General features: G+C 33.9%; 1 protein-coding gene across 3 annotated transcripts in view; it reads right to left on the bottom strand.

The window, feature by feature from the left end:
• Positions 1 to 27,057, bottom strand: part of DAZ4 (deleted in azoospermia 4) — a 73,221-nt gene that overhangs the window by 32,322 nt on the left and 13,842 nt on the right. Inside the window, exons 7-20 of one of the 3 annotated variants that reach the window (NM_001388484.1) lie at positions 22,994 to 23,140; positions 22,628 to 22,719; positions 22,016 to 22,067; positions 21,516 to 21,579; positions 21,287 to 21,426; positions 19,815 to 19,886; positions 17,372 to 17,443; positions 14,982 to 15,053; positions 12,586 to 12,657; positions 10,202 to 10,273; positions 7,806 to 7,877; positions 5,429 to 5,500; positions 3,049 to 3,120; positions 672 to 743 (exon numbers count right to left, since the gene is read on the bottom strand). In NM_001388484.1, the coding sequence (NP_001375413.1) occupies positions 672 to 743; positions 3,049 to 3,120; positions 5,429 to 5,500; positions 7,806 to 7,877; positions 10,202 to 10,273; positions 12,586 to 12,657; positions 14,982 to 15,053; positions 17,372 to 17,443; positions 19,815 to 19,886; positions 21,287 to 21,426; positions 21,516 to 21,579; positions 22,016 to 22,067; positions 22,628 to 22,719; positions 22,994 to 23,140 (1,143 nt within the window). The remainder of the gene's footprint in view (positions 1 to 671; positions 744 to 3,048; positions 3,121 to 5,428; positions 5,501 to 7,805; positions 7,878 to 10,201; positions 10,274 to 12,585; positions 12,658 to 14,981; positions 15,054 to 17,371; positions 17,444 to 19,814; positions 19,887 to 21,286; positions 21,427 to 21,515; positions 21,580 to 22,015; positions 22,068 to 22,627; positions 22,720 to 22,993; positions 23,141 to 27,057) is intronic. The other 2 variants (NM_001005375.3, NM_020420.4) reach the window with 2 other exon arrangements.

Genomic DNA, 27,057 nt, shown 5'->3' with positions numbered 1-27,057 from the left:
AAACACAGTATTGAAGTACTTATTCCGCTGTCTCCTTTTTTATTATAATAAAAGTAACAGAAAGGAAAACTTAAGTACTTTATGTTTCTTGTCCATGACATTCTTGTTACTTTAAATTTGAATCTTCACCTTTCTCCAAATTTTTGGGAGTTGGCAATGTGGAAACCTCAAAAATACTAGCTCTTTCAGTTTATTACCATAGATATAGTTATGGGTCATAGATATACTTGTATCTATGAGAAGAGATCCTGAGAATGACTACCGTCAAACAGCCAGCTAAAATGAAAATATAATTGGAATTCTGTGCTCTGAAAAGTGGATCATAATTTTATTTCACTCTATCTCCCTAAAAAAATTCATGAAAGTCAGTTTGGATGTTTCATTCAGCTATTTGACAGCAAAGATGAAAACTATATCCACAAATGAAGAAGGGGACACCAAATCTCAGAAATCTCTTCTACACAAATGTTATTGCCAAGGATATTCCTGTAAAAATATTACTTCATTACTTCTAAATAAGACAGAGGTCTTCATTCTACACTAAGTCTTTCCTTAAATTTTAGGGACACTTCACTAGTTAAAAATGACCAACTATTCAGGAAATTTCTATAAACAAGTTAAAGGCCTCAATAATACCTGAAAGCAAACCATTTTACTACCTCTTACATTACCTGATAATTGTATACAGGCAACTGATATCCAGTGGTGACCTGAACTGGTGAATTTGGATAAGCAGGAAATGCCTGAAAAGGTTGCAGAAAAAATGAATATGGTAAACCACATTTTAAAATTAGAAAGAAATATAATTCCCAATATAAGAAAAATATTACAAAACGGAAAATATCCTTTTTCTACATACAACAATGCAGAATTCCAAATGAATGACTTTATGAGGAAAGAAAGATTCTATGTCAAGTGCTACACTTTGGGTGTGAAGGGGGAACAAATGACAAAGAACTGACTACTTCACCAAAATTTACCTTATACTGTGTACTTATTCACACCCAGAAATTATGTCTTACACTGGTGATAAGGTTCCACTAAGACAGATTGCAATGTAAGGTAAATCAATACATTTGCAATTTCGCTGTAAGAATATTTCCAGACTGTTTTGTATCAGACAATATTGTAGGGTAATATGTAGTTCTATAGATGTTATGGCTTTGTCTGTATTTCATTCCAAAAAACTAATTGCAGTCTATATTCCAATACTGGAGAATAAAAAGTATAATGTCTGACATGTTTCAACAAATTCTTATTGTTTGAAAACATACAGGTAGCAGCATACATGAATACACCCAGAATCACTAATGCCTCACAGTAAACGAGAGAAACAAGTAGGGCTTTTTTTCTAGCCATGGTTCAGAGAAGGAAAAAGAAGAGGTATACCATACATGTTTCAAGTACATGGAAAATATCAACAAATTAGAGACACAGCAGAACGATTTCACTATTATTTCATTACTTCATTTTCTGTCAAAGAAAATGTCTTTTAAGCTAACACATCAATGAAATGAACTAAGAAGAAAATAAACGATATTTATCAACAGTAAGTGACACACTATGTCAAACCCTACTTTAAATATCAATGTAACCACGATCAGAGAAATTACATGCCAGAAACTCACCGGGTTTATATATATATACTAAACCACGTCAGAAATCTGCCCATTCCAGAACCAGAATATATCCAGAAGTCAGCCATTTATATGAGGAGGCATGTGGCAATCATTTCAAATAAAGGATAGCTAGATAAACTGCTAAACTTACCGAAGAATAAAGTAGGCAGACACATAAGGAGAGCTGCTTTCATTCACTTTAGGAACTGCTTATAAGGGGGAAAGCAGCTCCGGTGAGTTGGAGGTAATACTCTCCTTTACTCCTATTCTTATTTAGGCGTCATTAACAGCAAAGCATTTCTGTTTCTCTTCTATAAATTTTCTACTGCTGGTAAAGCCAGAGGCATATTCTGTGCAGACACATGCTAATTCTAAAGTCACGTGAATACTCCCTTTCTTTGATTATATAGTCTATCATTATGTAGACCTGCCATTGCTTAAGCACATAAAAACCTGAGGACAAAAAAGGCACTGTTGCTGCCATGGGAGTTTATAATCGGGTTAACAAGAAGGAAACAACAACAAAAAAAACATTAACATAAAAAGTCACTTAAAAATATTTGTAGGCATATATGACATGGAAAAAAATCAAGAATGAACAGGAAGTCTATGTTTGGCTAATTCCCTTAACGTCAAGGACAACATAATCCCTTTGCTACCCAACAGGCCCCTAAGGTGGAATCTTAAAAAATCAATCAATAAATAAAAGGAAACCAAAACTATTGAAGTATTACTACACATTTTCAAAAACACATGAGAAACACAATATTAAAGTACTTATCCTGCTGTCTCCTTTTTTATTGTAATAAAAGTAACAGAAAGGAAAACTCAAATACTTTATGTTTCTAGTCCATGACATTCTTGTTACTTTTACATTGGAAACTTCAGCTTTCTCCACATTTTCGGGATTTCGCAATGTGGAAACCTCAAAGATACTAGCTCTTTCAGTTTATTACCGTAGATATAATTATGGGTCACAGATACACTTGTATCTATGAAAAGAGATCCAGAGCATTACTATCGTCAAACAGCCAGCTAAAATGAAAATGTAATTGGGATTCTGTGCTCTGAAAAGTGCAGCATAATTTTATTTCAGTCTATCTCCCTAAGAAAATTCATGAAAGACACTTTGGACGTTTCATTTAGCTATTTGACAGTAAAGATGAAAACTACATCCAGAAATGAAGAAGAGAACACCAAATCTCAGAAATCTGTTCTACAGAAAAGTTATTGCCAAGTATATTCCTGTCAAAATACTACCTCATTATTCTAAATAACACAGAGGTCTTCATTCTACACTAAGTGTTTCCTTAAATTTTAGGTACAATTCACTAGTTTAAAATGAGCAACTATTCAGGAAATTTGTATGAACAAGTTAAAGGCCTCAATAATACCTAAAAGCAAATCATTTTACTCCCTCTGACATTACCTGATAATTGTATACAGGGAACTGATATCCAGTGGCGACTTGAAATGGTGAATTTGGATAAGCAGGAAATGCCTGAAAAGAAAGGTTCCAGAAAAAAATGAATACGGTAAACCATTTTTTTAAAATTAGAAAGAAATATAATTCTGAATATAACAAAAATAGGTAAAATATTGTTTTTCTACATACAATAATGCAGAATTCTAAATGAATGACTGACTTTATGAAGAAAGAAAGATTCTATGACAAGTGCTACACTTTGGGAGTGAAGGGGGAACTAATGACAAAAGAATTGACTATTTCACCAAAGTTTACCTTATACTGTGTACTTATTCACACCCAGAAGTTATTTCTTACACTGGTGGTAAGGCTCCATTAAGAGAGATTGCAAGGTAAGTTAAATTAATACATTTGCTATTTCCCTGTCAGAATATTTCTAGACTGTTTTGTATCAGACAATATTATAGGACAATATATAGTTTGACAGATGTTATGGCTTTGTCTGTACTTCATTACGAAAAACTAAGTGCAGTCTATAATCCAATACTGGACAAGAGAAAGTATAATGTCTTATATGTTTCAAAAAATTTTTATTATCTGAAAACATACAGGTAGCAGCATACATGAATACACCCAGATTCAGTAATCGCTCACAGTAAATGACAGAAACAAGTAAGGCTTTTTTTCTAGCCATTGTTCAGAGAAGGAAAAAGAAGAGGTATACCATACATGTTTCAAGTACATGGAAAATATCACGAAATTAGAGACAACCGCAGAACTATTTCACTATTATTTTGTTACTACATTTTCCATCAAAGAAAATGTCTTTTAAGCTAACACATCAATGAAATGAACTAAGAAGAATATAAACGTTATTTATCAACAGTAAGTGATAGAGTATGTCAAACCCTACTTTAAATATCAATGTCACCAGGATCAGAGAAATTAGATGCCAGAAACTCAAGCGGTTTATATATATATACTAAATCACATCAGAAATCTACCCATTCCAGAACCAGAATATATCCAGAAGTCAGCAATTTATATGAGGAGGCATCTGGAAATCATTTCAAATAAAGGATAGCTAGATGAATTGCTAAACTTACGGAAGAATAAAGTAGGCAGACACATAAGGAGAGCTGCTTTCATTCACTTTAGGAACTGCTTATACGGGGGAAAGCTGCTCTGGTGATTTGCAGGTAATACTCTCCTTTACTTCTATTCTTATTTAAGCATAATTAACAGCAAAGCATTTCTGTTTCTCTTCTATAAATTTACTACTGCTGGTAAAGCCAGAGGCAGATTCTATGCAGCTACATGCTAATTCTAAAGTCACGTGAATATTACCTTTCTTTGATTATATAGTCTATCATTATGTGGAGCTGCCATTGCTTAAGCACATAAAACCCTGAGGGCAAAAAAGGCACTGTTGCTGCCATGGGAGTTTATACTCGGGTTAACAAGAAAGTAACAACAACAACAACAAACATTAATATAGAGAGTCACTTAAAAATATTTATAGGCATATATGACATGGAAAAAAAATCAAGAATGAACAGGAAGTCTATGTTTGGCTAATTCCCTTAACGTCAAGGACAACATAATCCCTTTGCTCCCCAACAGGCCCCTAAGGTGGCATCTTTAAAAAAAAAAAAAAAAAAAGGAAACCAAAACTATTAAACTATTCCTACATATTTTCAAACACACATGAGAAACACAGTATTGAAGTACTTATTCCGCTGTCTCCTTTTTTATTATAATAAAAGTAACAGAAAGGAAAACTTAAGTACTTTATGTTTCTTGTCCATGACATTCTTGTTACTTTAAATTTGAATCTTCACCTTTCTCCAAATTTTTGGGAGTTGGCAATGTGGAAACCTCAAAAATACTAGCTCTTTCAGTTTATTACCATAGATATAGTTATGGGTCATAGATATACTTGTATCTATGAGAAGAGATCCTGAGAATGACTACCGTCAAACAGCCAGCTAAAATGAAAATATAATTGGAATTCTGTGCTCTGAAAAGTGGATCATAATTTTATTTCACTCTATCTCCCTAAAAAAATTCATGAAAGTCAGTTTGGATGTTTCATTCAGCTATTTGACAGCAAAGATGAAAACTATATCCACAAATGAAGAAGGGGACACCAAATCTCAGAAATCTCTTCTACACAAATGTTATTGCCAAGGATATTCCTGTAAAAATATTACTTCATTACTTCTAAATAAGACAGAGGTCTTCATTCTACACTAAGTCTTTCCTTAAATTTTAGGGACACTTCACTAGTTAAAAATGACCAACTATTCAGGAAATTTCTATAAACAAGTTAAAGGCCTCAATAATACCTGAAAGCAAACCATTTTACTACCTCTTACATTACCTGATAATTGTATACAGGCAACTGATATCCAGTGGTGACCTGAACTGGTGAATTTGGATAAGCAGGAAATGCCTGAAAAGGTTGCAGAAAAAATGAATATGGTAAACCACATTTTAAAATTAGAAAGAAATATAATTCCCAATATAAGAAAAATATTACAAAACGGAAAATATCCTTTTTCTACATACAACAATGCAGAATTCCAAATGAATGACTTTATGAGGAAAGAAAGATTCTATGTCAAGTGCTACACTTTGGGTGTGAAGGGGGAACAAATGACAAAGAACTGACTACTTCACCAAAATTTACCTTATACTGTGTACTTATTCACACCCAGAAATTATGTCTTACACTGGTGATAAGGTTCCACTAAGACAGATTGCAATGTAAGGTAAATCAATACATTTGCAATTTCGCTGTAAGAATATTTCCAGACTGTTTTGTATCAGACAATATTGTAGGGTAATATGTAGTTCTATAGATGTTATGGCTTTGTCTGTATTTCATTCCAAAAAACTAATTGCAGTCTATATTCCAATACTGGAGAATAAAAAGTATAATGTCTGACATGTTTCAACAAATTCTTATTGTTTGAAAACATACAGGTAGCAGCATACATGAATACACCCAGAATCACTAATGCCTCACAGTAAACGAGAGAAACAAGTAGGGCTTTTTTTCTAGCCATGGTTCAGAGAAGGAAAAAGAAGAGGTATACCATACATGTTTCAAGTACATGGAAAATATCAACAAATTAGAGACACAGCAGAACGATTTCACTATTATTTCATTACTTCATTTTCTGTCAAAGAAAATGTCTTTTAAGCTAACACATCAATGAAATGAACTAAGAAGAAAATAAACGATATTTATCAACAGTAAGTGACACACTATGTCAAACCCTACTTTAAATATCAATGTAACCACGATCAGAGAAATTACATGCCAGAAACTCACCGGGTTTATATATATATACTAAACCACGTCAGAAATCTGCCCATTCCAGAACCAGAATATATCCAGAAGTCAGCCATTTATATGAGGAGGCATGTGGCAATCATTTCAAATAAAGGATAGCTAGATAAACTGCTAAACTTACCGAAGAATAAAGTAGGCAGACACATAAGGAGAGCTGCTTTCATTCACTTTAGGAACTGCTTATAAGGGGGAAAGCAGCTCCGGTGAGTTGGAGGTAATACTCTCCTTTACTCCTATTCTTATTTAGGCGTCATTAACAGCAAAGCATTTCTGTTTCTCTTCTATAAATTTTCTACTGCTGGTAAAGCCAGAGGCATATTCTGTGCAGACACATGCTAATTCTAAAGTCACGTGAATACTCCCTTTCTTTGATTATATAGTCTATCATTATGTAGACCTGCCATTGCTTAAGCACATAAAAACCTGAGGACAAAAAAGGCACTGTTGCTGCCATGGGAGTTTATAATCGGGTTAACAAGAAGGAAACAACAACAAAAAAAACATTAACATAAAAAGTCACTTAAAAATATTTGTAGGCATATATGACATGGAAAAAAATCAAGAATGAACAGGAAGTCTATGTTTGGCTAATTCCCTTAACGTCAAGGACAACATAATCCCTTTGCTACCCAACAGGCCCCTAAGGTGGAATCTTAAAAAATCAATCAATAAATAAAAGGAAACCAAAACTATTGAAGTATTACTACACATTTTCAAAAACACATGAGAAACACAATATTAAAGTACTTATCCTGCTGTCTCCTTTTTTATTGTAATAAAAGTAACAGAAAGGAAAACTCAAATACTTTATGTTTCTAGTCCATGACATTCTTGTTACTTTTACATTGGAAACTTCAGCTTTCTCCACATTTTCGGGATTTCGCAATGTGGAAACCTCAAAGATACTAGCTCTTTCAGTTTATTACCGTAGATATAATTATGGGTCACAGATACACTTGTATCTATGAAAAGAGATCCAGAGCATTACTATCGTCAAACAGCCAGCTAAAATGAAAATGTAATTGGGATTCTGTGCTCTGAAAAGTGCAGCATAATTTTATTTCAGTCTATCTCCCTAAGAAAATTCATGAAAGACACTTTGGACGTTTCATTTAGCTATTTGACAGTAAAGATGAAAACTACATCCAGAAATGAAGAAGAGAACACCAAATCTCAGAAATCTGTTCTACAGAAAAGTTATTGCCAAGTATATTCCTGTCAAAATACTACCTCATTATTCTAAATAACACAGAGGTCTTCATTCTACACTAAGTGTTTCCTTAAATTTTAGGTACAATTCACTAGTTTAAAATGAGCAACTATTCAGGAAATTTGTATGAACAAGTTAAAGGCCTCAATAATACCTAAAAGCAAATCATTTTACTCCCTCTGACATTACCTGATAATTGTATACAGGGAACTGATATCCAGTGGCGACTTGAAATGGTGAATTTGGATAAGCAGGAAATGCCTGAAAAGAAAGGTTCCAGAAAAAAATGAATACGGTAAACCATTTTTTTAAAATTAGAAAGAAATATAATTCTGAATATAACAAAAATAGGTAAAATATTGTTTTTCTACATACAATAATGCAGAATTCTAAATGAATGACTGACTTTATGAAGAAAGAAAGATTCTATGACAAGTGCTACACTTTGGGAGTGAAGGGGGAACTAATGACAAAAGAATTGACTATTTCACCAAAGTTTACCTTATACTGTGTACTTATTCACACCCAGAAGTTATTTCTTACACTGGTGGTAAGGCTCCATTAAGAGAGATTGCAAGGTAAGTTAAATTAATACATTTGCTATTTCCCTGTCAGAATATTTCTAGACTGTTTTGTATCAGACAATATTATAGGACAATATATAGTTTGACAGATGTTATGGCTTTGTCTGTACTTCATTACGAAAAACTAAGTGCAGTCTATAATCCAATACTGGACAAGAGAAAGTATAATGTCTTATATGTTTCAAAAAATTTTTATTATCTGAAAACATACAGGTAGCAGCATACATGAATACACCCAGATTCAGTAATCGCTCACAGTAAATGACAGAAACAAGTAAGGCTTTTTTTCTAGCCATTGTTCAGAGAAGGAAAAAGAAGAGGTATACCATACATGTTTCAAGTACATGGAAAATATCACGAAATTAGAGACAACCGCAGAACTATTTCACTATTATTTTGTTACTTCATTTTCCATCAAAGAAAATGTCTTTTAAGCTAACACATAAATAAAACGAACTAAGAAGAATATAAAGGTTAGTTATCAACATTAAGTGATGGAGTATGTCAAACCCTACTTTAAATATCAGTGTAACCAGAATCAGAGAAATTAGACGCCAGAAGCTCACGGGGTTTATATATATACTAAACCACATCAGAAATCTACCCATTCCAGAAGAAGAATATTTCCAGAAGTCAGCAATTTATATGAGGAGGCATCCGGAAATCATTTCAAATAAAGAATAGCTAGATGAACTGCTAAACTTACCAAAGAATAAAGTAGGCAGACACATAAGGGGAGCTGCTTTCATTCACTTTAGGAACTGGTTATAAGGGGGAAAGCAGCTCCGGTGATTTGGCGGTAATACTCTCGTTTACTCCTATTCTCATTTAAGCGTCATTAACAGCAAAGCATTTCTGTTTCTCTTCTATAAATATTCTATTGCTGGTAAAGCCAGAGGCAGATTCTATGCAGATACATGCTAATTGTAAAGTCACATGAACACTACCTTTCTTTGATTATATAGTCTGTCATTATATGGACCTGCCATTGCTTAACCACATAAAAACCTGAGGGCAAAAAAGGCACTCTTGCTCCCATGGGAGTTTATAATCGGGTTAACAAGAAAGTAACAACAACAAAAAAATTAATATAAAGAATCACTTAAAAATATTTATAGGCATATATGACATGGAAAAAAATCAAGAATGAACAGGAAATCTATGTTTGGCTAATTCACTTAACGTCAAGGACAACATAATCCTTTGCTCCCCAACAGGACCTTATGGTGGCATCTTAAAAAAAAAAAAGAAAGAAAAAGAAAGAAAAAAAAAGGACACCGAAACTATTATATGTATTCCTACACATTTTCAAAAACACATGAGAAATACAACATTGAAGTACTTATCCGGCTGTCTCCTTTTTCATTATAATAAAAGTAACAGAAAGGAAAACTTAAGTACTTTATGTTTCTAGTCCATGACATTCTTGTTACTTTTATATTGGAAACTTCACCTTTCTCCAAATTTTCGGGAGTTGGCAACGTGGAAACCTCAAAGATACTACCTCTTTCAGTTTCTTACCATAGATGTAATTATGGGTCATAGATATACTTGTATCTATGAAAAGAGATCCAGAGCATTACTATCTTCAAACAGCCAGCTAAAATGAAAATGTAATTGGGATTCTGTGCTCTGAAAAGTGCAGCATAAATTTATTTCACTCTATCTCCCTAAGAAAATTCATGAAAGTCAGTTTGGATGTTTCATTCAGCTATTTCACAGTAAAGATGAAAACTGCATCCAGAAATAAAGAAGAGAACACCACATCTCAGAAATCTCTTCTACAGAAAAGTTATTGCCAAGTATATTCCTCTCAAAATACTACTTCATTACTTCTAAATAAGACAGAGGTCTTCATTCTACACTACTTCTACGTGTTTCCTTAAATTTTAGGTACACTTCACTAATTTAAAATGACCAGCTATTCAGGAAATTTGTATAAACAAGTTGAATGCCTCAATAATACCTGAAAGTAAATCATTTTACTCCTTCTTACATTACCTGATAATTATATACAGGCAACTGATATCCAGCAGTGACCTGAAATGGTGAACTTGGATAAGCAGGAAATGGCTGAAAAGAAAGGTTGCAGAAAAAAATGAATATGGTAAACCACTTTTTAAAATTACAAAGAAACATAATTCCCAATATAACAAAAATATTACAAAAGGTAAAATATCCTTTTTCTACGTACAACAATGCAGAATTCCAAATGAATGACTGACTTTATGAAGAAAGAAAGATTCTAGGTCAAGTGCTACACTATGGGTGTGAAGGGGGAACAAATGACAAAATTGACTACTTCACCAAAGTTTACCTTATACTGTGTACTTATTCACACCCAGACGTTATTTCTTACACTGGTGGTAAGGCTCCATTAAGAGAGATTGCAAGGTAAGTTAAATTAATACATTTGCAATTTCTCTGTAAGAATATTTCTAGACTGTTTTGTATCAGACAATATTATAGGGTAATATGTAGTTCGACAGATGTTATGGCTTTGTCTGTACTTCATTACGAAAAACTAAGTGCAGTCTATGATCCAATACTGGAGAAGAGAAAGTATAATGTCTTACATGTTTCAATAAATTCTTATTGTTTGAAAACATACAGGTAGCAGCATACATGAATACACCCAGAATCAGTGATGCCTCACAGTAAATGACAGAAAAAAGTAGGACTTTTTTTCTAGCCATTGTTCAGAGAAGGAAAAAGAAGAGGTATACCATACAAGTTTCAAGTACATGGAAAATATCAACAAATTAGAGACACTGCAGAACTATTTCACTATTATTTTGTTACTTCATTTTCCGTCAAAGAAAATGTCTTTAAAGCTAACACGTCAATAAAATGAACTAAGAAGAATATAAACGTTATTTATCAACAGTAGGTGACAGAGTATGTCAAACCCTACTTTAAATATCAATGTAACCAGGATCAGAGAAATTAGATGCCAGAAGCTCACGGGGTTTACATATATATACTAAACCACATCAGAAATCTACCCATTCCAGAACCAGGAAATATCCAGAAGTCAGCAATTTATATGAGGAGGCATCTGGAAATCATTTCAAATAAAGGATAGCTAGATGAACTGCTAAACTTACCGAAGAATAAAGTAGGCAGACACATAAGGAGAGCTGCTTTCATTCACTTTAGGAACTGCTTATAAGGGGGAAAGCAGCTCCGGTGATTTGGAGGTAATACTCTCCTTTACTCCTATTCTTATTTAGGCGTCATTAACAGCAAAGCATTTCTGTTTCTCTTCTATAAATTTTCTACTGCTGGTAAAGCCAGAGGCATATTCTGTGCAGACACATGCTAATTCTAAAGTCACGTGAATACTCCCTTTCTTTGATTATATAGTCTATCATTATGTAGACCTGCCATTGCTTAAGCACATAAAAACCTGAGGACAAAAAAGGCACTGTTGCTGCCATGGGAGTTTATAATCGGGTTAACAAGAAGGAAACAACAACAAAAAAAACATTAACATAAAAAGTCACTTAAAAATATTTGTAGGCATATATGACATGGAAAAAAATCAAGAATGAACAGGAAGTCTATGTTTGGCTAATTCCCTTAACGTCAAGGACAACATAATCCCTTTGCTACCCAACAGGCCCCTAAGGTGGAATCTTAAAAAATCAATCAATAAATAAAAGGAAACCAAAACTATTGAAGTATTACTACACATTTTCAAAAACACATGAGAAACACAATATTAAAGTACTTATCCTGCTGTCTCCTTTTTTATTGTAATAAAAGTAACAGAAAGGAAAACTCAAATACTTTATGTTTCTAGTCCATGACATTCTTGTTACTTTTACATTGGAAACTTCAGCTCTCTCCACATTTTCGGGATTTCGCAATGTGGAAACCTCAAAGATACTAGCTCTTTCAGTTTATTACCGTAGATATAATTATGGGTCACAGATACACTTGTATCTATGAAAAGAGATCCAGAGCATTACTATCGTCAAACAGCCAGCTAAAATGAAAATGTAATTGGGATTCTGTGCTCTGAAAAGTGCAGCATAATTTTATTTCAGTCTATCTCCCTAAGAAAATTCATGAAAGACACTTTGGACGTTTCATTTAGCTATTTGACAGTAAAGATGAAAACTACATCCAGAAATGAAGAAGAGAACACCAAATCTCAGAAATCTGTTCTACAGAAAAGTTATTGCCAAGTATATTCCTGTCAAAATACTACCTCATTATTCTAAATAACACAGAGGTCTTCATTCTACACTAAGTGTTTCCTTAAATTTTAGGTACAATTCACTAGTTTAAAATGAGCAACTATTCAGGAAATTTGTATGAACAAGTTAAAGGCCTCAATAATACCTAAAAGCAAATCATTTTACTCCCTCTGACATTACCTGATAATTGTATACAGGGAACTGATATCCAGTGGCGACTTGAAATGGTGAATTTGGATAAGCAGGAAATGCCTGAAAAGAAAGGTTCCAGAAAAAAATGAATACGGTAAACCATTTTTTTAAAATTAGAAAGAAATATAATTCTGAATATAACAAAAATAGGTAAAATATTGTTTTTCTACATACAATAATGCAGAATTCTAAATGAATGACTGACTTTATGAAGAAAGAAAGATTCTATGACAAGTGCTACACTTTGGGAGTGAAGGGGGAACTAATGACAAAAGAATTGACTATTTCACCAAAGTTTACCTTATACTGTGTACTTATTCACACCCAGAAGTTATTTCTTACACTGGTGGTAAGGCTCCATTAAGAGAGATTGCAAGGTAAGTTAAATTAATACATTTGCTATTTCCCTGTCAGAATATTTCTAGACTGTTTTGTATCAGACAATATTATAGGACAATATATAGTCTGACAGATGTTATGGCTTTGTCTGTACTTCACTACGAAAAACTAAGTGCAGTCTATAATCCAATACTGGACAAGAGAAAGTATAATGTCTTATATGTTTCAAAAAATTTTTATTATCTGAAAACATACAGGTAGCAGCATACATGAATACACCCAGATTCAGTAATCGCTCACAGTAAATGACAGAAACAAGTAAGGCTTTTTTTCTAGCCATTGTTCAGAGAAGGAAAAAGAAGAGGTATACCATACATGTTTCAAGTACATGGAAAATATCACGAAATTAGAGACAACCGCAGAACTATTTCACTATTATTTTGTTACTTCATTTTCCATCAAAGAAAATGTCTTTTAAGCTAACACATAAATAAAACGAACTAAGAAGAATATAAAGGTTAGTTATCAACATTAAGTGATGGAGTATGTCAAACCCTACTTTAAATATCAGTGTAACCAGAATCAGAGAAATTAGACGCCAGAAGCTCACGGGGTTTATATATATACTAAACCACATCAGAAATCTACCCATTCCAGAAGAAGAATATTTCCAGAAGTCAGCAATTTATATGAGGAGGCATCCGGAAATCATTTCAAATAAAGAATAGCTAGATGAACTGCTAAACTTACCAAAGAATAAAGTAGGCAGACACATAAGGGGAGCTGCTTTCATTCACTTTAGGAACTGGTTATAAGGGGGAAAGCAGCTCCGGTGATTTGGCGGTAATACTCTCGTTTACTCCTATTCTCATTTAAGCGTCATTAACAGCAAAGCATTTCTGTTTCTCTTCTATAAATATTCTATTGCTGGTAAAGCCAGAGGCAGATTCTATGCAGATACATGCTAATTGTAAAGTCACATGAACACTACCTTTCTTTGATTATATAGTCTGTCATTATATGGACCTGCCATTGCTTAACCACATAAAAACCTGAGGGCAAAAAAGGCACTCTTGCTCCCATGGGAGTTTATAATCGGGTTAACAAGAAAGTAACAACAACAAAAAAATTAATATAAAGAATCACTTAAAAATATTTATAGGCATATATGACATGGAAAAAAATCAAGAATGAACAGGAAATCTATGTTTGGCTAATTCACTTAACGTCAAGGACAACATAATCCTTTGCTCCCCAACAGGACCTTATGGTGGCATCTTAAAAAAAAAAAAGAAAGAAAAAGAAAGAAAAAAAAAGGACACCGAAACTATTATATGTATTCCTACACATTTTCAAAAACACATGAGAAATACAACATTGAAGTACTTATCCGGCTGTCTCCTTTTTCATTATAATAAAAGTAACAGAAAGGAAAACTTAAGTACTTTATGTTTCTAGTCCATGACATTCTTGTTACTTTTATATTGGAAACTTCACCTTTCTCCAAATTTTCGGGAGTTGGCAAGGTGGAAACCTCAAAGATACTACCTCTTTCAGTTTCTTACCATAGATGTAATTATGGGTCATAGATATACTTGTATCTATGAAAAGAGATCCAGAGCATTACTATCTTCAAACAGCCAGCTAAAATGAAAATGTAATTGGGATTCTGTGCTCTGAAAAGTGCAGCATAAATTTATTTCACTCTATCTCCCTAAGAAAATTCATGAAAGTCAGTTTGGATGTTTCATTCAGCTATTTCACAGTAAAGATGAAAACTGCATCCAGAAATAAAGAAGAGAACACCACATCTCAGAAATCTCTTCTACAGAAAAGTTATTGCCAAGTATATTCCTCTCAAAATACTACTTCATTACTTCTAAATAAGACAGAGGTCTTCATTCTACACTACTTCTACGTGTTTCCTTAAATTTTAGGTACACTTCACTAATTTAAAATGACCAACTATTCAGGAAATTTGTATAAACAAGTTGAATGCCTCAGTAATACCTGAAAGTAAATCATTTTACTCCTTCTTACATTACCTGATAATTATATACAGGCAACTGATATCCAGCAGTGACCTGAAATGGTGATCTTGGATAAGCAGGAAATGGCTGAAAAGAAAGGTTGCAGAAAAAAATGAATATGGTAAACCACTTTTTAAAATTACAAAGAAATATAATTCCCAATATAACAAAAATATTACAAAAGGTAAAATATCCTTTTTCTACGTACAACAATGCAGAATTCCAAATGAATGACTGACTTTATGAAGAAAGAAAGATTCTAGGTCAAGTGCTACACTATGGGTGTGAAGGGGGAACAAATGACAAAAGAATTGACTACTTCACCAAAGTTTACCTTATACTGTGTACTTATTCACACCCAGACGTTATTTCTTACACTGGTGGTAAGGCTCCATTAAGAGAGATTGCAAGGTAAGTTAAATTAATACATTTGCAATTTCTCTGTAAGAATATTTCCAGACTGTTTTGTATCAGACAATATTATAGGGTAATATGTAGTTCGACAGATGTTATGGCTTTGTCTGTACTTCATTACAAAAAACTAAGTGCAGTCTATGATCCAATACTGGAGAAGAGAAAGTATAATGTCTTACATGTTTCAATAAATTCTTATTGTTTGAAAACATACAGGTAGCAGCATACATGAATACACCCAGAATCAGTGATGCCTCACAGTAAATGACAGAAAAAAGTAGGACTTTTTTTCTAGCCATTGTTCAGAGAAGGAAAAAGAAGAGGTATACCATACAAGTTTCAAGTACATGCAAAATATCAACAAATTAGAGACACTGCATAACTATTTCACTATTATTTTGTTACTTCATTTTCCGTCAAAGAAAATGTCTTTAAAGCTAACACGTCAATAAAATGAACTAAGAAGAATATAAACGTTATTTATCAACAGTAGGTGACAGAGTATGTCAAACCCTACTTTAAATATCAATGTAACCAGGATCAGAGAAATTAGATGCCAGAAGCTCACGGGGTTTACATATATATACTAAACCACATCAGAAATCTACCCATTCCAGAACCAGGAAATATCCAGAAGTCAGCAATTTATATGAGGAGGCATCTGGAAATCATTTCAAATAAAGGATAGCTAGATGAACTGCTAAACTTACCGAAGAATAAAGTAGGCAGACACATAAGGAGAGCTGCTTTCATTCACTTTAGGAACTGCTTATAAGGGGGAAAGCAGCTCCGGTGATTTGGAGGTAATACTCTCGTTCACTCCTGTTCTTATTTAAGCGTCATTAACAGCAAAGCAATTCTGTTTCTCTTCTATAAATTTTCTATTGCTGGTAAAGCCAGAGGCTGATTATTGGCAGATACGTGATAATTCTAAAGTCAAGTGAATACTACTTTTCTGTGATTATATAGTCTATCATTATGTGGACCTGCCATTGCTTAGGCACATAAAAACCTGAGGGCAAAAAAGGCACTCTTGCTCCCATGGGAGTTCATAATCGGGTTAACAAGAAAGTAACAACGACAAAAAAATTAATATAAAGAATCACTTAAAAATATTTATAGGCATATAGGACATGGAAAAAAATCAAGAATGAACAGGAAGTCTATGTTTGGCTAATTCACTTAACGTCAAGAACGGAATCCCTTTGCTCCCCAACAGGCCCCTATGGTGGCATCTTAAAAAAAAAAAAAAAAAAAAAAAAAGGACACCAAAACTATTAAAGTATTCCTACACATTTTCAAAAACTCATGAGAAACACAATATTGAAGTCCTTATCCTGCTGTCTCCTTTTTTATTATAATAAAAGTAACAGAAAGGAAAACTTAAGTACATCATGTTTCTAGTCCATGACATTCTTCTTACTTTTATATTTGAAACTTCATCTTTCTCCAAATTTTCAGGAGTTGGCAATGTGGAAACCTCCAAGATACTACCTCTTTCAGTTTATTACCATAGATATAATTATGGGTCATAGATATACTTGTATCTATGAAAAGAGATCCAGAGAATTACTATCTTCAAACAGCCAGCTAAAATGAAAATGTAATTGGGATTCTGTGCTCTGAAAAGTGCAGCAGAAATTTATTTCACTCTATCTCCCTAAGAAAATTCATGAAAGTCAGTTTGGATGTTTCATTCAGCTATTTCACAGTAAAGATGAAAACTACATCCAGAAGTAAAGGAGAGAACACCACATCTCAGAAATCTCTTCTACAGAAATGTTATTGCCAGGTATATTCCTCTCAAAATACTACTTCATTACTTCTAAATAAGACAGATGTCTTCATTCTACACTAATTCTAAGTGTTTCCTTAAATTTTAGGTACACTTCACTAGTTTAAAATGACCAACTGTTCAGGAAATTTGTCTAAAAAAGTTAAAGGCCCCAATAATACCTGAAAGCAAATCATTTTACTCCCTCTTACATTACCTGATAATTATATACAGGCAACTGATATCCAGTGGTGACCTGAAATGCTGAATCGGGATAAGTAGGATATTCCTGAAAATAAATTATACAGAAAGAATGAATTAATACGTTAAAACATTATTTTTAATTAGGAAGAATTAGTCCCAATATAACAAAACTATGAAAAATTTCGAAATACTAATTATTTTTCTATCTGCAACAATGTAGAATTGTAAGTGACTGACTGATTTATGAAGAACGTATTATTCTCGGTCAAGTGCTATGGTTGGGCGTGGAGGGGGAACAGACAAATGTCAAAAGAACTGGCTATGACACCAGGCAAAGTTAACCTTACTTATATTGTGTACTTATGCCCACCCAGAAGTTATTTCTTGCACTGGTGATAAGGCTGCATTAAGACAGAGTTCAATGTAAGTTAAATTAATACATTTGCTATTTCCCTGTAAAAATGCTTCCAGACTGATGTGTATTTGACAATATTATAAGGTAATACGTAGTTCTGCAGAATTTACGGCGTTTTCTGTACTTCATGTTGAAAAACTAAGTGCAGTATAGAATCCAATACTGGAAAAGAGACAGTATAATGTCTCATATGTTTCAATAAATACTTATTGTTTCAACACATATAGGTAAGCAGCATGCATCAATACACCCAGATTCAGTAATGGCTCACAGTAAATGATAGAAGTAGGGCTTTTATTCCAGCCATTGTTCACAGAAGGAAAAAGAAGATGAGGTATACCGTACATGTTTCAAGTACAGGGAAAATGTCAACAAATGAGAAACACTGAATATAACTACTTCACTACTATTCTGTTACTTTATTTTCCATCAAAGAAAATGTCTTTTAAACTAAGATATAAATAAAATGAACTAAGAAGAAAATAAACGTTATTTACCACCAGTAAGTGACAGAATATGTCAAATCTACTTTAAATAGCAAACTAACAAGGATCAGAGACACTACATGCCAGAAACTTGCGGGATTTACAGATACCTAAAACATATCAGAAATCTACCCATTCCAGAACCAGAATATATCTGGAAGTCAGCAATTTAATATGCAGAGGCATCTGGAAATCATTTCAAATAAAGAATACCTGGATTAACTGCTAAACTTAGAGAAGAATAAAGCAGGCAGACACATGAGAAGAACTGCTTTTAAATATTTTAGTTATATGGGGGAAAGCAGCTCAGGTGTTATAGAGGTAATACTCTTTTTAATCCTATTCTTATTTAAGAGTAATTAACAGCAAAACATTTCTGTTTCTTTTATGAAATTTTTTATGGTTGGTACATCCAGATGCAGATTCTCATCAGATACATGCTATTCTAAAGCCAAATTAATACTACCTTTCTTAGATAAAGCCACATTAGGACTACCTTTCTTAGATTAAATAATCTATCGACAAGTAACTGAACACTTGTCATAATTTGGAGAAGCCATTGCTTAAGCATACAAAAACCTGAGAGAGAAAAAGGCACTGTTTCTCCCATGGGAGATTATAATTGGGTTAAAAAGAAAGTAACAAAACGTTAACACATCAATATAAAGAATCATTAAAAATATTTATAGGCATATGTGCCACACAAAAAATCAAGAAAGAAGAGCAGGTATATGTTTCACTCATTCGCTTTACCGGAGGAACAACATAACTCCTTTGCGCCCCAACAGGCCAGTGCAGTGGAATCTTAAATTAAAAAAAAAAAAAAAAAAAAAAAAGTAACCAAAATTATTTAAATACTCCTACACGTTTTCAAAAACACATGAGTTACATAATATTGGAGTATTTATCATGATGGCTCCTTTGTTATAATAAAAGAAACAGAATAGAAAAAAGAAGTACTTTAGGTTTCTAATCCCCAAAGTTCTTGTTGTTACTTCTACACAGAAAACCTCACCTTTTTCCCAATTTTATGGAAACAGAATTGTGGAACCCTCAAAGATATTAATTCTTTGAATTTGTTACCACAGATACAATTATGGGTCACAGATAATAGTTGTACCATTGAAAAGAGACCCAGAGAACTGCTATCATGAAGCAGCAAGCTAAAATAAAAATACAACTGAAATTCTGTGCTCTAAGAATTCGGTAAAGCTTTTATTTCACTCTGTATCTCTACAAGATTCAGGAAAGTCAGTCTGGATGTTTCAGCTCTTTGACAGCAAAGATAACAAAATACATGCTGAAACAAAGAAGGGAACACCAAATCTCAGAAATTGTTCTACGGAAAAGTTATTGCTAAGTACCCTCCTGTCAAAATCTTATTTCATCACTTCTAAATAAAACAGAGGTCCTCATTACACTAATTCTAAGTGATTTCTTAAATTTTAGGTACAGTTCACTAGTTTAAAAGGACAACCTATTCAAGCAATTTGTATAAGCAAGTGGAGGCCTCAATAGTAGCTGAAAGTAAATCATCTTACTCCCTCTTCAATTACCTGATAATTATATACAAGCAACTGACATCCAGTGATGACCTGACCTGGTGAATGTGGATAAGCAGAGTAAGCCTGAAAATAAAGTTTACAGAAAGAATGGATTAATACGGTAAAACATTTTCTTTAACTAGAAAGAAATATCATTCCCAAAATAACAAAAATACGAAAAACCTTGAAATGGTAATTATTTTTCTACATACAGAAATACAGATTTCTAAATGAATGACTGACATGAAGAAACAAATATTCTCTGTCAAGTGCTACCCTTTGGGCGGGGAGGGGGAAGAGACAAATGACAAAACAAGTGACTGTTGCACCGGCCAAAGTCTACCATATTTATACTGTGTACTTATGCCCACCCAGAAGTTATTTCTTACGCTGCTGATAAGGCTCTATTAAGATAGATTTCAACGTAAGTTAAAATAATACATTTGCTCTTTCTTTGGCAAAATACTTCTAGACTGTTTGCTATCTGATGATATTATAGGGTAATACTGTAGTTCTTCGGCAGATGTTACGGCTTTCTCTGTACTTCTTTTCCACAAATTAAGGGCAGTAAGTAAGCCACAGCTGGAAAAGAGACAGTATAATGTCTTCTACTTTTCAATAAATACTTACTGATTAAAAACATACAGGTAGCATCATTCATCAATACACCCACATTCAGTAATGGCTCACAGTAAATGCTACAAACAAGTAGGGCTTTTCTTCTAGCCATTGCTCAGAGAAGGAAAAAGAAGAAGAGGTGTACCCCACACGTTTCAAGTACATGGAAAATGTCAACAAATGAGAGACACTGAAGAACTAATTCACTACTATTTGGTTACTTTATTTTCCATCGAAGAAAACCTCTTTTTAAAAACTAACACATAAATAAAATGAACGAAGAACAAACTAAACGTTATTTATCACCAGTAAGTGACAAGAGTATGTCAAATCCTACTTTAAATATCAAAGCAACCAGCATCAGAGAAATTACGTGCCAGAAACTCACGGGATTTCTAGATAGAGCAAAAGAGATCAGAAATCTACCCATCCCAGAACCAGAATATACCCAGAAGTCAAGCAATTTATATGAGGAGGCATCTGGAAATCACTGCAAGTAAAGAATAGCTAGGTTAACTGCTAACCTTAGAGAACAATAAACTAGGCAGACACATAAGGAGGGCTGCTTCCAAATACTTTAGGAACTAGTTATATGAGGTGAAAGAGGCAGAGATAGGAAGAGATTTGTTCATGTGTCTACAGAGGTCATTTCTAAGAGAAAGCTTCGCCAAGTATACAGAAGATTCTTAGCTCAAATGACGAACACGAAGAATAAGAAATTTCTAACAAAAGTAACAGATTTCCCGTTACTCACACTGTTCAAACAGGGATTCTATTGCCACTTACTATGGAAAGTGTAGATACAATTCCACAGAGGGAAGGATGACTAGAATAAACAAGAGAACAGGAACATAAGCAGTTCTTACCTGAACGTGCTGAGTTACAGGATTCGGCGTGATTTGGGGCTGCAGGTAGGTTTCAGTGTTTGGATTCCGCCAGACGTTCTGAAACTGTGGTGGAGGAGGAGGATTAACTACCAAAGGACGTGGCTGCACATGACGAGCACCTTTTTAAAAAGCAAGAAGAAAAAAGCCTATTTTTAGTTATTTGAAAAGCTACACGGGTCAGAAAAGAACCATTTCTTTTCCTACTCACATAACTTTTGTTTCCTGATTGCAGGGCCCAGCTTCAGCTTTTTACCATGGAAATGTATCTGTGACTGAAAATAGAACCGTTAACAAAACTAGAATCAATTTTCAAGTGTTAGCTTCCAAGACTTGGGTAAACACCTGAAGTCTTCTAAAGTACCTATCATCATAGAAGATCGGGGACAACTACGCACCAAATTAAAATTTGTCATCACGAAGCTACCTTACTTACCCTTACTACTCTAATCAGTGTCAAGAGGCATCAAGTGAAAGTTGATCAAAAACTTTCCATCACCCTGTCTCCAACCCTTCCTGTCTGTAGTTCATGAAACTAGGTGTCCAGTCAAAAATAAACAGGATCAAACAAGCTACGTGAGGTTACTCTGAGTTTGGATTTTGAACAGGAAGTGTGTCTTTCCCCAAATTTTACACAAGTCCGAGTGTATCACTGACACTAAACGTTGTAGCAATAAGATAAATAAGAGATTTTTCTATTAGATTACTTACTCCTACTATCTTCTGGACATCCACGTCATTAACAAACGAAACAAATCCATAGCTATAAAGGCAGACAAATGAAGCATAAAATCACCATCATACAGTACGTGGTTCAGAAGGTCTACTATTCTATATACAGAAGTGATCATGACAAAAGACGAATAATATACCATGATAAGTATTTGCTAAGATGTACATGACAGATCCTCTACAAATACCACTTTTTCTTAAGCAGAACTATGTCAAAATGTGCTAGGATTAGGGCAGTGTGACAACTTTATTGATTAGCAAAGAATTCATATCTGTGAACCTGAGTTTAACTTACTGTCTAAGACAAGGTGGTTAAAATTTAAGATGCTCTGCAGTGTATGAAGAAAACAATTATTTGAGAAAACTGATTAACTCATCTGTATGAAATAGAAACTGGAGACATTTAAATACAAACATTAGAAAAATGGTCAAATAGAAGAACTGGTAATAGCCTTTTATCCCCTACGTGAAAGAAATTAACACTGCAGAATATTGCATTTATACAAGGGTCAGAATATCAGTTTTGAAGTCTTGTCTGATACTTATAGAATAGGTGACTGGAGTTCACATATTTTTGATAAAATTACTCACCCTTTGGACACACCAGTTCGATTCGTGATTATCTTCACTTCTTTCACTGAACCGTATCTACCAAAGCAGCTTCCAATCTCAGTTTCATCCATCTATGGAAAAGAACTGAACGTCAGAGTAAAAATTCAGCATTCAAAAATTTCAACTTTACTACAATTTTACTACCATGAGGTGGAAATTTCTCCCCCATTTATCCCCGAATGACCAGCAGCCCTTTGTCAAAGATATTTTTAGTACCTATGGGTCAAACCTAAAAGCAATTCTAAACCTCCAGGAAGTACAAAAAAAAATTTAAGTTTGTAACAGGGCCCACATCCCATTGTTCATGATGTATGTTAAGGTAAAAATGAGGTACAAATACAATACCCTAGCATCAATTCCACCAACAAAAACAGTGTTTGGCACGATTTTGCCTTCTGGTAACACCCAGCCTTGGCTAGCTGCAGCTGATGAAGACTGGGTGCTGGCCTCTCTGGAGATGGTTGAGTTTGGAGTCTCAGGATTTGCAGCAGACTGTAATTTGGAAAGTAGACATCATAATTACGTATGCAGGCAAAACCCATACATAATGTGAAATACCATTTTTGTATTTTAAGTATATTTTACATAAATTACTTTCATTGTAATTCAGTCACCAGTGCAGCTCAGTTCAGGCTCAGGATTTAAACTTATCAGAGTACATCAGCATGGAATTTTAACCGAAGGATACAGTACTTTCTTAAACCTAGTGCCGCTCATCACCGAGTCTTGTATAATGCTGTGGAAGAATACCCATTTAGTATTTGTGAAAGTACTACGTGAAGTAGTTAAAAAAGACACCCAAAACTAGAGAGTTTAGATTTGTAAAAATTAAAGTTATTAAAATCATCCTGTTCTATATTCATAAACAACTTTTCACTTTACTGAGTAGACTAAAGATAAATCTTAAAAAAAAAAAAAAAAAAAAAAAGCCCCACCAAAAAGAAAATAAGCCTCAACGTTTTAAACCAATTTGTTACAATCCTCTTCCCTAACGCTAGGGTGTTCAAAGCATCTTTTGAAATAACATTTTTCTTCCTGAGTAACACGGAATCAGTCTGACTGATAATTCTGATTTTCACAGTGGGCTGATAGATATAAATGATACCATCTTTATTTTCAGATAAAAAAACACATACATATAACTCACTAATTTTCTAGATTCTGATCAGAACTGTCTTTATTCTTTCCACAGCAGACTCTAAGGTTAATGTAAAATTTTCTGAAGTAGTATTCATAAGTAATATATACGTTGGAGAAACAATATAGCATAGTGAAACAAAAATTAATTCAGTCAGGAGATCTAGGTTTATGTCCCTTACAGGTAAGTGGTTATAAGCCACCTACTTGCCAGCTATGTATCTGTGGGCAAAGTGCTTTGAGAATGACATGAGATCACATCTGTGAATTCATTTTGTACGTATAAAGTGGTACAAGTGGTGTGCCAATGTAAGTTAGTGTCCTGTTATTTGAATTTATTTTCAGCCGATTTGTTTTCAAGTTTCTTTTTTGGCTTCACTATTTAGCTGACTTATTTTGAAAAAATTTTAATTAAGAACTAATTGACACATCAGGAAACTATGACACATCATTAATTTAAAAATCATTGGTGAAGTGCTGTTGACTTCACAAATGTCAGTACAAAATGCTGCAAAAGAGAAAGCTATTACACATATACCTGTCTGAAAGAAAACAAAAGACAAAAGAAACTGCGTTATCTTTTTGAACACAGTAATGTTATAGAAGTTAATAAGAAAGGAGGGTTCCTGCTTTGTTAATTAGAGCCTAGAAGTTACTGATTCTACACAGCTTTACTAGAGATCAAATCTAAATTGTCAAATCAACTAAAGCCGAGGTTACTGCATTTCTCTATTCTTTCGTGCTTGTACTTGCTATTTTGGGTCTGTAACTAATTCCTAATTCTTTCCTTTAACAGCGTTATTTCATGACAATGATGTGAAAGAAAAATTTAAAACACTATTTTTAAAGTTCTTCCTTTCAAAAATGTCTCACATTATTGCTTTTTCCAAATGACATTAAGCTGCACTACCTTGAACTACTGGGAACCTGATTAGATATCCCTTCCCTATAGACAATTTACCAATTCCTTCTCAGTTCATTCAGAAATCCCAAACAGAATAAAACAAAACAAAACAAATTCTGAAATTCTTGTAGTTTCTTTTTCTCCTTTCCAATTCCTCCTTGATTTGTGGATGAACTTTGGGTATGTGTTTCCTTGATAAACAAGCTATATTACAGTATCGTCTCTGCACCATAGTGTTTGGATGTATTTTAATTTAGAAATGTAACATCTGGCAGAAAACTGTGTCAGACTACGAGAGGTTACGGAAATGCACTGATTCTCAACTGGGCAAGATTTTTGAGCCCCAGGGGCATTTAGCGACGTTTAGAGATTGGCTGTCACAACTGAGATGTATTCCTGGAATCTGATGGGCCGAAGGCCAGGCACACTACTGCGCATCCTACAGTGTAAAGACAGCCTCCTACCATAAGGAAGTATTTGGTGCACAATTTGAAAAGGGTCTGGTTAAGAAACCTTGTCACCGTGCCACAAGAATTGAAGAGGAAAATTCTTCTTTGGGAAGAACCTGATTTCCATCGCTCACTAAAGTGAATCTTTTCATGACCTCGGTTTCAGTTTCCTTGCTTGAAAACGAATGGCCGGAAAAGACCTCGGGTGTCTCTTCTGATTCTCATACTCATTTGGATACTCGAAATAACCGTAGTTTGGTAAAGAAGAAAAAAGGCATTTGATATTATTAAGAAGTTTGACTTTAGCTTGGATCTTACAAACCGGCTGCCTGCTTAACTGGAATCGTACATATAAAATTCACTGAATCTCTCTAACAGCGTCAGAATACTTTAAATGAAGGAAGTAATGATCATGTCCTAGTCCTCAGCCAGCAGGTGGCGCTCAAAGCTAACAAGGTAAGCAATGTACCTCGTTTTCTGCAACGTACTTCACTTTTACCATGGCTCGAGTAGCAGGGATTGTTCAATTCCGACTGTGTACTTATACATAATTATATAATGTATATATAAAAATCCACAATCAACAGACAATCTTTGGTTAGTTTTAAACTACGGCCAAAAATATAAATGAATGCTTCGGATAAGCAAAAGTTTAGTTTGAAAGAAAGTACCATCGTAACCGTCAATGGCATCCTGAAAACAAACTGCATTAAAGAAGTAATTTTCTTAACCGTATCTTCAAGTGAGTTGTTGAATTTTCAAATGAGAAATGTTGCAATAGTAAACAGGGGTGAGCTTCAACACCATCATACACGCAACTCTCACTGCTACATAGGGCAAATACATTCCTTGTTACATGTGGACAACCAAGTGACAACGACAGCTAAAAGCTGCAAAAAAATTATCGTTATTTAAACTCCTGGCATGTCAGCTCCTTTGCCAGTATTATCTAATTCAATTACTATGTCAACCTGTAAGCAAACTGATACTTATATAAACTGACCAGGAAAAAGCCTATCATTTGTAGTCAGCAAAGTTACATTCACAGCAATAGAAGAGGAGCAAATAAAGAGAGTGATAAAATTAAGAAAATATGACAGGAAAATCAGAATCAAAACCTTAAGCAAATCAAAGAGCAGATTCTCGGGGAGTGGTGCGTGGGGAGGATGAAATTCAAGCAATAAACAATCCTGGCAAAACAAAGCAAGAAAACACAAGAAAGCAAAAGTATACATGAGACCTGAAAAATGGGTTGCGGCCACAGATAATAGAAGAATGCTAAGCAGAAACTCTATTTTCAATGAGGAAGAAAGTATTTCTCAACGCGTTTTACAAAGCTAAAAGCATATAGGTAACAAAGCCTCATCCAGATGATCCATCCCTGCCCTCAACACAAATGCAAAATTCCAGCAGTATATAAAGAGTCTAAGTTTACATTGGGAATGCAAGAATACTCCATTCGCAGGATACATTACTTTAGTTCATCACTGAAAATCATTTGATAAAATACAGCACTCATAATTTAAATTTTTTAAAAACCCAAGTAAAATAGAGGTAGAGGAATCTTATTTTCTATCAATCTCATTCTACCCTATCATCAAGCTTACAAGTGAAATAGTTGAGTCAACTCAATTGAAAGTAGGAATGAGGTAAGGGCACCAGGGCACCTCCTTATTACTCCTGCATATGTTTTCCACTGTGTATGACAAAAGTGAATACTAATACAAAGTATTCTTATGAATCAGTAAGAAAAATAAAATTAAAAAGGTAATTTTAAAAGCTAAAGATCAATGATCAACTTCAATGATGATTTTTAAAAGTGCACATCAACATAATGTAATATTTTCCAGCTATTACGCTGACAATTTAAAAAATACTAATAACTTTCACTGGAATGGGTGTGGAAAAGACAGCACTCT

The sequence above is a fragment of the Homo sapiens genome, chromosome Y (genome assembly GCF_000001405.40).
Source record: "Homo sapiens chromosome Y, GRCh38.p14 Primary Assembly".
Classification (NCBI taxonomy): Eukaryota; Metazoa; Chordata; class Mammalia; order Primates; family Hominidae; genus Homo; species Homo sapiens.
Note: the sequence above shows the minus strand (reverse complement) of the source record. Positions and strands in the feature narration are given on the sequence as shown.